Genomic DNA, 12,731 nt, shown 5'->3' with positions numbered 1-12,731 from the left:
TTCAGTGGATATAACAAAAGCCAAAATAATGATAGCTTGAGATGAAAATTTACTTCTAAGCAATCCAGGGCTGATATGTCAGCAATATGTTGTGAGGGGTCTCAGCTCTTGCCTTGTTCTGTCATCATCAACACATCTTGGCCTCCATCTCATGAACAAAGATGGCTGGTGCTGGGCACAGTGGCTCACACCTGTAATCCCAACACTTTGGGAGGCTGAGATGGGTGGATCACTCAAGTCCAGGAGTTTGAGACTAGCTTAGGCAACATGAGGAAACCACGTCTGTACAAAAAATACAGAATTATCTGGGTGTGGTCGTGCATGCCTGTAGTCCCAGTTACTCAGGAGGCTGAGGCAGGAGCGAGCCCAGGAGGTCAAGGATGCAGTGAGTGGTGATTGCGCCCCTGCACTCTAGCATGGGAAACAGCGTGAGACCCTATCTCAAAACCAAAACAAAACAAAAAAATGGCTGGGCCAGTTCCCATCATCAGGTCCTCTTTCCAGCCAGCAGGAAGAGAAGAGCAAATGGAGGGCATGACCCTTCTTTATAAAGTCATGACCCAAAAGTTGCACACATCATTTCTGTCTACACACCCTTGTCTCAAATTAGTCACATGGTCATGCCCAGTTGTAAGGGAGGCTGGAAATAGTCTAGTGGGCCAGCCATATGCTCAACTAAAACTCGGGAGTTCAGTTACTAAGGAAGATGGAGAGAATGGATAGTAAGGCAAATGGCCATTTTTACCTAATGGAGGTTCTTGGGATCACAGAAACAGTGGTCAGAATATTAAAGAAAAAAGATCCTTAGAGACTATCTAGTTAAACACTCTGATTTTATAGATGGGGAGACAGACCCAGAGAGGTGACCTGTCCAAAATTAGACAGCAATCTAGTCAGTGGCAGACCAAGGCTGGAATTCAGGTCTCTTAACTCCAAGCCCAGTGCTCAAAACTCGGGAAGGGGCTGGGCATGGTGGCTCACACCTGTAATCCCAGCACTTTAGGAGGCCGAGGTGGCAGGATTGCTTGAAACCAGGAGTTCAAGACCAGCCTGGGCAACAAAGCACGACCCCATTGCTACAAAAAAAATGTTTTTCAATTAAAAATAAAACTAGTGAAGGGATTCGTTTTAGAGGGACTTTAGCTTTATATGTATTATTTCTATTCATGTATTATATGTAACAAGGATATATTCATGTGTGGCTATGTAAATAAAAAATGAAAACTTAACCAATACATATATGAAAAGGTGTTATCTTCATTAGTGGAGAAAATTCAAGTTAAAACCGCAATGAGATACCACAATACATCCACAAAAATGCCTAATACTGGCTGGGTGCGGTGGCTCATGCCTGTAATCCCAGCACGTTGGGAGGCCGAGGTGGGCGGATCACGAGGTCAGGAGTTTGAGACCAGCCTGGCCAACATGGTGAAACCCCGTCTCTACTAAAAACACACACACACAAAAATAGTCAGGTGTGGTGGTGTGCGCTTGTAATCCCAGCTACTCGGGAGGTTGAGGCAGGAGAATTGCTTGAACCCAGAAGGCGGAGGTTGTAGTTAGCTGAGATCGTGCCACTGCGTTCCAGCCTGGGCAACAGAGGGAGACTCGAAAAAGAAAATGCCTAATACTAAAAGGACAATGGGACAATGTCAAGTGTTGAGAATGCAGAACAACTGGAACTCTCAGATATGACTGGTACACCCTTTCAAAATGCCTGGCTCCACAAGAACAAAAAAAAAAGAAAGAAAGAAAGAAAGAAAGAAAACAAAATGTCTAGCTCCAGCCTGGGCAACATAGTGAGACCATGTCTATACTAAAAAATAAAAACAAAAATAAAATTAGCGGGGCGTGGTGACACATGTCTGTGGTTCCCGCTACTTGGGAGGCTGAGGCAGGAGGATTGCCTGAGTCCAGGAGGTGGATGCTGCAGTGAGCCATGTTTGGCCTGCACTCCGGCCTGGGCTACAGAGGGAGATCCTGTCTGCAAAAAAAAAAAAAAAAGAAAAAGAAATGTCTGGCCCTATTTACCAAAGCTGAACATATGCATACCTTATGACCCTGTGATTCCACACCTAGGTATTACCCAACAGTATTTACCCAACATTACCTATGTTCATAAGACACATGTTCAACAGCATTCATAGCAGCATTTTATAATATATGTAATAAGGCCGGGCATGGTGGCTCATGCCTGTAATCTCAGCACTTTGGGAGGCTGAGGTGGGTGGATCACCTGAGCTTAGGAGTTCAAGACCAGCCTGGCCAACATGATGAAATCCCATCTCTACTAAAATACACAAATTATCCGGGCGTGGTGGCAGGCACCTGTGATCCCAGCTACTTGAGAGGCTGAGGCAGGAGAATTGCTTGAACCTGGGAGGTGGGAGGTTGCAGTGAGCCAAGATGGCGCCACTGCACTCCAACCTAGGCAACAGAGCGAGACTCTGTCTCCAAAAAAAAGAAAAAAGAAGTGTAATAAACAAAATTGGAGATAACCCAAATGTTCATCAACAGTAAAATGTGGTCTATTTATATAATAGAATATTAAAGGTGTGAGAATGGATTAACTACAACTACACATAGCAACACAGATGTATCAAACACAATTTTGAGCAAAAGAAGCAAGGCATAAAAAATACATGCTATATTATTCTGTTTATATACAGTTCAAAAACAAATAAAGTTTAACTATGCAGTTTGAAGTCAAGATAGTTACCCTTTTGGGTAGTAAGTAACTGGAAGTGGACAGGCTGTGGAGGGTTCTGGAAATTGTTCTTTTTCTTGGTCTGGGTGCTGGTTGCATGGGTATGTTCACTTTGGGAAAATTCACATTTTGCATATTGGGATACTGAGGCTCAGAGAGAAAAACAATTGAATGGAGAGCTCACAGACAGACAGATGGCAGAGCTGGGATCAGAACCTAAGGGGTTAGGTTTTCGGTGACCCTGAAAAGTAGACAGTATCAGACATTCTTGGATTCTGTGAAATGCAGTTGAACCTCTGGTCTCCCAGTTGCCCTTCCCACCCCCACTTCTGCTTCATGCTTATAACACAAAACCAGTTTTGCAAGTGAGTCGGGCTCTCTCTTGCAGGTCCAAAGTCTGTGACTCTGCACTTTGTGTTTCTTCCCAGGCCTGAACCCAGTGAACAGACCAACTTGGAACATAGGAGAAAGTTTTGTTTTTTTGTTTTTAAGAGTTGAAAGGAAGAAAATTAGGCCAGGCACAGTGGCTCATGCCTATAATCCCGGCACTTTGGGAGGCCAAGGTGGGTGGATCAGTTGAGGTCAGGAGTTCTAGACCAGTCTGGCTACACGGCGAAACCTCGTCTCTACTAAAAATACAAAAAATTACCCGGGCACAGTGGCGCACACCTGTAATCCCAGCTACTCAGGAGGCTGAGGCAGGAGAATTGCTTGAACCTGGAAGGCAGAGGTTGCAGTGACCCCAGATCGCATCACTGCACTCCAGCCTGGGTGACAGAGTAAGACTCTGTCTCACAAAAAAAAAAAAAAAAAAAAAGGGCCAGGCTCGGTGGCTCATGCCTGTAATCCCAGCACTTCGGGAGGCTGAGGCAGGTGGATCACCTGAGGTCAGGAGTTCAAGACCAGCCTGGCCAACATGATGAAATCCTGTCTCTACTAAAATACACAAATTATCTGGGCGTGGTGGCAGGCACCTGTAATCCCAGCTACTCGGGAGGCTGAGGCAGAAGAATCGCTGGAACCCAGGAGGTGGAGGTTGCAGTGAGCTGAGATGGCACCATTGCACTCCAGCCTGGGCAACAAGAGTGAAACTCCGTCTCAAAAATGGAAGAAAGAGAGAAAGAGACAGAGAGAGAGGGAGGGAGAGAGAGAGGGAGGGAGGGAGGGAGGAAGGAAGGGAGGAAGGGAGGGAGGGAAGAAGAAAGGAAAGAAAGAAAGGGAAGGGAAGGGAGGAGGGAGGGAGAAAGGAAGGAAGGAGAGAGAGAGAGAAAGAGAGAGAGAGAAGAGGGAGGGAGGGAGAGAAAGAAAGGAGAGAGAGAAAAGAGGGAGGGAGACAGAGAGAAAGAATGAAAAAAAAAGAAAGAAAGGAGGGAAGGAGGAAGAGAAAGAAAGAAAGAGAGGAAAGAAAGAAAATTAGATACATGTTTGTGTGCTGCTAGAAAACTGTGTCATAGCATAACCAAAACTGTCACCTCAGCAATCCCTGGGGAGTGAGATGGGGTGGGGAAGCCCTTCTCTCCCTGCCCCAAGGCTACTGCCCTTGTTCAGTAAGCAGGCTGAGGCCCCACACCCTTCTTTCCGGTTCCTCACCTGGAGTACTTTCCTTGATCTTAACCTGACAACCTCCTTCTCACCATTCAGATCTTTGTTCCTTCCTTGACCACCTCATCCAAAGAGATACCCTGTCACTGTTCATAAAATGATTGTTTTTACCGCTTCCACTTCTCTCTCTGAAATCACTTTGTTTATTTATCTACTCAATGGTTGTCTGCCCCTCCCATGCCCCATGCAGGCAGGAACCACCTTGTTTCCCACTGAATCCTCAGAGAAGGACAGGGGACACAGAGCCCACAGATGTTAGGTGGTCAATGAATGAGGTTGGGTGTTGGTGGGGGGCTGGCTTTTTATTTTGTACACGTTTGTATTTTGCATTATTATTATTATTTTTTGAGACAGAGTCTTGCTCTGTCACCCAGGCTGGAGTGCAATGCTGTGATGTCAGCTCACTACAACCTCTGCCTCCCAGGTTCAAACAATTCTTGTGCCTCAGCCTCCCGAGTAGCTGGGATTACAGGCACCTGCCACCATGCCCCACTAATTTTTGTATTTTTAGTAGAGATGGGGTTTCACCATGTTGGTCAGGCTGGTCTCAAACTCCTGACCTCAAGTAATCCACTGGTCTCGGCCTCCTAAAGTGCTGCAATTACAGACGTGAGCCACCACACCCAGCCTGTTATTATTTTTTAACAAGATGGGGTCTCACTTTGTTTCCTAGGCTGGTCTCATACCCCTGAGCTCAAGGGATCCTTCCACCTTAGCCTTCCAAAGTGCTAGGATTTCAGGCATGAGCCACTATGCCTAACCCTGAATATGTCTGTATTTTTTTTAATAGGAGAAAAAGCATATACATTTATTTGATCATAGTTTTTTTGTGACATGGGAGCCTTCAGAATGAAGAGCCACAGATACAGAGGAAACTGTCCATTTTTATGCTTAGGTTCAACGAAGTGTACATGGCCGTGTATGTAGGGAAAAGAGAGATCAGACTGTTATTGTGTCCATGTAGAAAAGGGAGACATAAGAAACTCCATTTTGACCTGTACCCTGAACAATTGCTTTGCCCTGAGATGCTGTTAATCTGTAACTTTGCCCCAACCTTGAGCTCACAGAAACATGTGTTGTATGGAATCAAGGTTTAAGGGATCTAGGGCTGTGCAGGATGTGCCTTGTTAACAAAATGTTTACAGGCAGTATGCTTGGTAAAAGTCATCGCCATTCTCCATTCTCGATAAACCAGGGGCACAATACACTGCGGAAAGCCGCAGGGACCTCTGCCCTGGAAAGCCTGGTATTGTCCAAGGTTTCTCCCCATGTGACAGCCTGAGATATGGCCTCGTGGGATGGGAAAGACCTGACCGTCCCCCAGCCCGACACCCGCGAGGGGTCTGTGCTGAGGAGGATTAGTAAAAGAGGAAGGCCTCTTGAAGTTGAGATAAGAGGAAGGCCTCTGTCTCCTGCCTGCCCCTGAAACTGAACGTCTCGGTATAAAACCCGATTATACATTTGTTCAATTCTGAGACAGGAGAAAAACCGCGCCGTGGCGGGAGGCGAGACATGTTGGCAGCAATGCTGCTTTGTTATTCTTTTCTCCACTGAGATGTTTGGGTGGAGAGAAGCATAAATCTGGCCTGTGTGCACATCCAGGCATAGTACCTTCCCTTGAACTTATTTGTGACTCAGATTCCTTTGCTCACATGTTTTCTTGCTGACCTTCTCCTCACTATCAGCCCGCTCTCCTATCGCATTCTTCTTGCTGAGATAGTGAAAATAGTAATCAATAAATACTGAGGGAACTCAGAGACCAGTGCCAGAGCAGGTCCTCCGTATGCTGAGCGCCGGTCTCCTGGGCCCACTGTTCTTTCTCCATACTTTGTCTCGGTGTCTTATTTCTTTTCTCAGTCTCTCGTCCCACCTGATGAGAAATACCCACAGGTGTGGAGGGGCAGGCCACCCCTTCACATGTAGAAACAGGATTGCACAAAACGCTAATAGACTGAATAGAGAAACCCACCAAGACCCATCTGTGTAGATTCTTCTTGGCCTCTCTGTGCAGTGTTCCTTCCTCCAGGGTATGCGGCAAGACCCTCTCAAAGGGGCCTGGGTGGTGGGGGCTGTCTTATGACCTGTCTTGCCTAAGGTCATAGTGCAAGGTGATGAGACTAAAGAGGAACAGAGCACAGGCACAGAAGTATCTCAAAGCTTCCCCTCCGGTACCTCCCCAGCCTCTTTGGCCCAAACCCCCTGGCTAGCAACATTCCTATAGTTCCTCAGTGTCTCTTTGGTTCGGAAAAAAAACTTTCTTGCCTGGAGGCCTTTGCATCAGGGGGTCCCTTAACCATCACTCAGATCCTTCCCCTCTGCATGGCCAACTCTCATATGTTTGTATTTTTTAGTTTTTTGAGACTAACATGCATTACATGCATACCTTATTTATTTATTATTTTTTTATTTTTTTATTTTTTTGAGATGGAGTTTTGCTCTTGTTACCCAGGCTGGAATACAGTAGCCTGATCTTGGCTCACTGCAACCTCCACCTCCCCGGTTCAAGCGATTCTCCTTCCTCAGCCTCCCAAGTAGCTGGGAATACAGGCATGAACCACCTCGCCTAATTTTGTATTTTTAGTAGAGACGGGGTTTCACCGTGTTGGCCAGGCTAGTCTTGAACTCCTGACCTCAGGTGATCCACCCACCTCAGCCTCCCAAAGTGCTGGCATTACAGGCGTGAGCCACCGCGCCCAGCCAACATACATTACTTTTGCAAACAAAGATAAAACTCTTTTTTTATTCTTCAAAAGAATAAAAAAGCTCCCTGGTGGTCTAGTGGTTAGGATTCCAGGCTCTTACCACAGGGATCTTTTTTTTTTTTTTTTTTTTTGGGGACACAGTCTCGCTCTTTGCCCAGGCAAATATTGTGCAGTGGCAGAATCTTGGCTCACTGTAAGCTCCGCCTCCCGGGTTCATGCCATTCTCCTGCCTCAGCCTCCCGAGTAGCTGGGACTACAGGCACCTGCCACCATGCCCGGCTAATTTTTTGTATTTTTAGCAGAGACAGGGTTTCACCGTGTTAGCCAGGATGGTACCACAGGGTTCTTAAAAACAAAAAGAGGCCAGGTGCGGTGGCTCATGCCTGTAATCCCAGCACTTTGGGAGGCTGAGGTGGGCGGATCACCTGAGGTCAGGAGTTCAAGACTAGCCAGGCCAACACGGCGAAACCCTGTCTCTACTAAAAATACAAAAATTAGTTGGGTGTGGTGGCACACACCTGTAATCCCAGCTACTGGGGAGTCTGAGGCAGGAGAATCGCAAGAAACTGGGAGGCGGGGGTTGCAGTGGGCTATCGCGCCACTGCACTCCAGCCTGAGCGACAGAGGGAGACTCCGTCTCAAAAAAAAAAAAAGAGAAAGAATAAAAAAGCAGGTTACTGCAGCGGACTCTACCCTCACCAAGTTATCTTGGATTTAACAAGTTTCCAACTGAAAGCAATTCCCTCCAATACCAACTGGGGACCCTGAGACCAGAGAGGGGCTGGGCCTTGCCCAGGTTCACACAACACTAAGCAAGCCAGGCTGGGTCCCAACTCCCCTCCTCCCACTCAACCTGGGTACTTCTCGGGGGTTTCCCGATCCAAAGGAGGCCAGGAGCCGGGGTTGGGGATGGGGAGCGGAGACAGCGGTGAGGAGCGGCGGTGTGGCGGGCAGGGGGTGCGCAGACAGGGCGGAGAAGGTGCTGGTAACGGGGGCTGCGGAGCGGAAGGGTGCGGGCTGGGGAACCTCAGAGGGTGCGGGGAGGGAATAAGGGGCGTAGATGGTGCAGGGTAACGGAGGCGCGCAGTGAAGGCGGGTGACAGGGGCGCAGAGAGGTGCACAGTGAGACGAAGGAGGGAGAGGGGACGGCGAGGGCGACGGGAGATGGGGCGGGAGAGGGCGAAGGTGAGGGGGATAAGGGCGGGGACGGGGCGGGGACAGAGGCGGGTCGGGATGGTAGGGAGGGGCGGCCCGCGCGATCCCCGCCCCACCGCCCGGCGCTTGCGCACCTCCGCCCGAGCTCGCGGGCCTTGCGGCTGCGTTTTCAATCTGCTTCCTTGTGAGTCAGGTGGGTCCTGGGCCCAGGAACCGGCCCGGAGCCGTGGACGCCCTACAGCTGAGAAGGGGACCCAAGGGGTCGGCCGCGGCCAAGGCCCCTAGGACCGCCGCCCCAGCTCACGCTGCCGACGGCAGCTATAGACATTCTGCGTCAGGTCCGGGCTCCTGGACTTCGCCTTTCCCGAGCCCTGGAGGTGGGGAGAAAAGGTGAGCAGTTCGTGCCTGCAGCGCAGAGCCCCAAACCCGCGGTTTTAGAAATCGAAAAAGCCCTGCCGGGCGCGGTGGCTCACGCCTTTACCGTAATCCCAGCACTTTGGGAGGCCGGGGGGCGGGGTGGGGCGGGGGAGGATCACGAGTTCGGGAGTTCGAGACCAGCCTGGCTAACATAGTTGAAACCCCGTCTCCACTAAAAATACAAAAATTAGCCAGGTGTGGTGGCGCGCGCCTGTAGTCCCAGCTACTCTGGAGGCTAAGGAAGGAGAATCGCTTGAATCCGGGAGGCGGAAGTTGCAGTGAGCCGAGATCGCACCACTGTACACCTGGGTGACAGAGTGAGACTCTGTCTCAAAAAAAAAAAAAAAGAAAAAAAGCCGGCCGGGTATAGTGGCTCACGCCTGTAATCCTAACACTTTGGGAGGCTGAGGTCGGGAGTTCGAGACCAGCCTGGCCAACATGGAGAAACCCCGTCTCTACTAAAAATACAAAAAAAAAAGGAGCCGGGGATGGTGGCGCATGCCTGTAATCCCAGCTACTTGGGAGGCTGAGGCAGGAGAATCGCTTGAACCTGGGAGGCGGAGGTTGCAGTGAGCCGAGATCGCGCCATTGCACTTCAGCCTGGGCAACAAGAACGAAACTCCGCCTCAAAAAAAAAAAAAAAAAAAAAAAAAAGCCGTGGGTCAGGAGCCAGAGCCCTCTGCTCTAGTCTTAGCTGTGCCAATGTGACTCCCTGTGTGATTTGGGGGTAAATTACTGCCCCTCACTGGGTCTCTGTCTACCCACCTGCAAAATGAGAGGATCTTTGGATGAGTCTCCTTAATTCATTTCCTGGACAAACTTCCTCCAAGGCTCCCCCAGATTTACCAGTGACGCCCTTCCCTAAGTATCAACTTAGCCGTACTTTGAACTCTGGCCCCTCAGGTTTCAAGGGGACGGCCTTGTCTGGGATCAGCTCTGTCTGGGGAAAGAAGCTGCACCAGCCTCTGGATAGCAGGCTGAGTCACTTGTTTCTTGTGCCTTGAGTCAGTTCTCTCATCAGCTCTCCTCCTAGGCCAGTGTTATTACCTCCAGTAAAGATGGAAAAGTTGGGGTTCAGAGAGGGCTAGAGACAGACAGCCTGCTGTGTCCTGTCTTTTCTCCTGTGCTGTACAGGTTCACCAATTTTTAAAATCCAAATATATCTCATGGTACAGTGGAAGAACTGGCCAGAGAGTCTGGAAGTTTGGGTTCTGGTCCTGGCTGTGCCACTGACTCACTGTGACCTTGGGTAAGTACCTGCCCCTTTCTGGCTCAGTCTACTCTGCCCAGCAGCCAAGATATCGTTCATATGCTCTGCAAGGCCCCTTCTGTCTTTGACATCCCTAATAATGATAATAGCAATCATAATAATTGTGTCCTGTGTGCCAGACAGCTGGCCTCTGTCTACTTGCCCTGCCTCAGGGCCTTTGCACTTGCTATTTCCACTGACGGGAGCACTCACCTACCTCTGCTTCTTGCACATTCATTCTTCTGATCTCCATTGAAACTTGACTTGCAGGGCTGGGAGTGATGGCTCATGCCTGTAATCCCAGTACTTTGGGTGGCCAAGGCTGGGGGATCACTTGAGTCCAGGGGTTGGAGAGCAGCCTGGGCAACATAGTGAGACCCACCCCGCCCCACCACCCCACATCTCTACAAAAAGTTCAAAAATTAGCCGGGCATGGTGGCACGTGCCTGTAGCCCCAGCTACTAGGGAGGCTAAAGCAGGAGGATTGACTGAGCCTGGGAGATCGAGGCTGCAATGAGCCATGCACTCCAGCCTGGGAGACAGAGAGAGACCCTGTCTCACAAAAAAATTAAAAAAAATAAATAAAAAGAAACTTCACTTGCTTATGACATTCCCTAACTACACAGACTAGATGCGGTCCCTGGATTTAGATCCTTACGGTATCTATTGACTTCATTATATTTAAGTGTTTGTATAGTTCTTTGCCTAATATCCGTATCCCTGTTCTTCAGTGCCTGTAAATGCCCTAAGGGCTGGAAATCTATCCCATATGCTAGCAGCTAGCTCAAAAAGGTGCTCAGAAATTTGTTGTGGATTCAGAGTGACTTTCCTAGGGTCACACCATTGGCAGCACCAGAATTTGAACCCAGTCTGTCTGATGTCAGGGCCTGAGCTTCCACCTTACCTGCTATTTTTCATTCTAGGATCTTGTGCTGTGAAGACATTTCCCAAGTGCTTCATGTTAGCCAGCAAATCTGACCCACAAGGCCTGGAAAGAGGTGATTGTTAGGTTGCGCAGAGGTGGTCTTATCCAGCTCAGCTTCCCCTGGGACCCACCGTGGGACCTGAGGCAGAACTGGGGTGGACTTGGCCTCCTCCATGGCACACCGGCTGCAGATACGACTGCTGACGTGGGATGTGAAGGACACGCTGCTCAGGCTCCGCCACCCCTTAGGGGAGGCCTATGCCACCAAGGCCCGGGCCCATGGGCTGGAGGTGGAGCCCTCAGCCCTGGAACAAGGCTTCAGGCAGGCATACAGGGCTCAGAGCCACAGCTTCCCCAACTACGGCCTGAGCCACGGCCTAACCTCCCGCCAGTGGTGGCTGGATGTGGTCCTGCAGACCTTCCACCTGGCGGGTGTCCAGGATGCTCAGGCTGTAGCCCCCATCGCTGAACAGCTTTATAAAGACTTCAGCCACCCCTGCACCTGGCAGGTGTTGGATGGGGCTGAGGACACCCTGAGGGAGTGCCGCACACGGGGTCTGAGACTGGCAGTGATCTCCAACTTTGACCGACGGCTAGAGGGCATCCTGGGGGGCCTTGGCCTGCGTGAACACTTCGACTTTGTGCTGACCTCCGAGGCTGCTGGCTGGCCCAAGCCGGACCCCCGCATTTTCCAGGAGGCCTTGCGGCTTGCTCATATGGAACCAGTAGTGGCAGCCCATGTTGGGGATAATTACCTCTGCGATTACCAGGGGCCTCGGGCTGTGGGCATGCACAGCTTCCTGGTGGTTGGCCCACAGGCACTGGACCCCGTGGTCAGGGATTCTGTACCTAAAGAACACATCCTCCCCTCTCTGGCCCATCTCCTGCCTGCCCTTGACTGCCTAGAGGGCTCAACTCCAGGGCTTTGAGGCCAGTGAGGGAAGTGGCTGGGCCCTAGGCCATGGAGAAAACCTTAAACAAACCCTGGAGACAGGGAGCCCCTTCTTTCTCCACAGCTCTGGACCTTTCCCCCTCTCCCTGCGGCCTTTGTCACCTACTGTGATAATAAAGCAGTGAGTGCTGAGCTCTCACCCTTCCCCCACTAACCAGCTCCTAGCCTCTGCCCTCCCTCATTCTCATTCACACCTGTGTCCCTTTTCCACTAGGAGTCGACTTCACATCCAAAGGATTCACAGAGGGCCCCACTAGCTTCAAAACCAGGCACTTTCAAACTTGGTTTTAGCAGCAGAGTCCTTTAGTTATGGGCGATCTGAAACCCCATTATGCAAAACTAAAAACAGACCCTGAAAAACTGCTGGAGTTGAAGCAGAGGTGCTAAGGTCTCTCTTTCAGCTTCTGAAAATACCCTCTGGAAGCCTGGGGTCAGTGCTTAGTTTGAAAAGCAGGATGCTAAGCCATTCTGTAGGGACACTGTCCATTAGCACCACATAGTATGAAGGGGAGAATTTAAACAAGGAACCCCATGACAGTCATGAGAAGAAATCCTGTTGACATATGCCTGCCCCGTGTTAGGTAAGGTGCTGAGTTACCTCCATGCACATATAACCCTCAAAGCTACCTCGTTGGGCCTAGGTGGTTTGACCCCCTCCACAACTTTACAAATGAGGAAACTGAAATTCAGAGGTTAAGCAGCCTGCCCGAGGTCACAGCTAGCATGCAAAGACACCAGGATTCCATTTAGGCACATCTGAATCCAAAGCCCATTGGCTTGACCACTAGGTTGTAAGTAGATGAGGATGCTTGTCATGTGAAACGTGGTACAGTGGAGATTCTGGGAGAATAGGGGAGGTGTCCTAAAGAATATCAATCTCAAAGGGCACCCCAGTCGCAGAGACCAGTGTGGAGGTAGGAAAGTATGGGGAACAAGGACTGCAGTGTAGGGAATAGGTTTGGAGGGAGGGGGGAAGAACTGGAGGTTGAAGTAGGTTGGGTTTTTCAATTCCTTTTTTCACT

The 12,731-nt window shown here is 49.9% G+C and overlaps 1 protein-coding gene across 5 annotated transcripts, besides 2 other annotated features; it reads left to right on the top strand.

Moving 5' to 3' along the window:
* Positions 4,133 to 4,192: an enhancer, noted in NCBI's record as "active region_28837". NCBI's record gives its function as "activates an Ori minimal core promoter by ATAC-STARR-seq in GM12878 lymphoblastoid cells {active_cell/tissue: GM12878}" and the evidence as "EXISTENCE:reporter gene assay evidence [ECO:0000049][PMID:35858748]".
* Positions 7,928 to 8,447: a silencer, noted in NCBI's record as "silent region_20202". NCBI's record gives its function as "represses an Ori minimal core promoter by ATAC-STARR-seq in GM12878 lymphoblastoid cells {active_cell/tissue: GM12878}" and the evidence as "EXISTENCE:reporter gene assay evidence [ECO:0000049][PMID:35858748]".
* On the top strand, positions 8,299 to 11,869 carry HDHD3 (haloacid dehalogenase like hydrolase domain containing 3). 5 transcript variants are annotated; one of them, NM_001371923.1, is made up of 3 exons: positions 8,299 to 8,359; positions 9,718 to 9,832; positions 10,756 to 11,869. In NM_001371923.1, the coding sequence occupies exon 3, from the start codon at positions 10,931 to 10,933 to the stop codon at positions 11,684 to 11,686; it is 756 nt and encodes a 251-aa protein (NP_001358852.1). In that variant the 5' UTR covers positions 8,299 to 8,359; positions 9,718 to 9,832; positions 10,756 to 10,930; the 3' UTR covers positions 11,687 to 11,869. The 5 variants fall into 5 exon arrangements, with proteins under 5 accessions (NP_001358852.1, NP_001291439.1, NP_001291438.1 ...); NM_001304510.2 differs by having other exon boundaries at positions 8,299 to 8,556; positions 9,759 to 9,832; positions 10,756 to 11,863; NM_001304509.2 differs by having other exon boundaries at positions 8,299 to 8,556; positions 10,756 to 11,863.
* Positions 11,870 to 12,731: the final 862 nt, after the last annotated feature.

Source organism: Homo sapiens, chromosome 9, assembly GCF_000001405.40.
Source record: "Homo sapiens chromosome 9, GRCh38.p14 Primary Assembly".
In the NCBI taxonomy this organism is placed as follows: domain Eukaryota; kingdom Metazoa; phylum Chordata; class Mammalia; order Primates; family Hominidae; genus Homo; species Homo sapiens.
The sequence above is the reverse complement of the archived record's forward strand: the minus strand, read 5'-3'. Positions and strand labels throughout refer to the sequence as shown.

Coding starts and splice junctions, on each gene's coding strand:
- HDHD3 (NM_001371923.1), top strand. CDS start 10,931: ATGGCACACCGGCTGCAGATACGACTGCTGACGTGGGATGTGAAGGAC.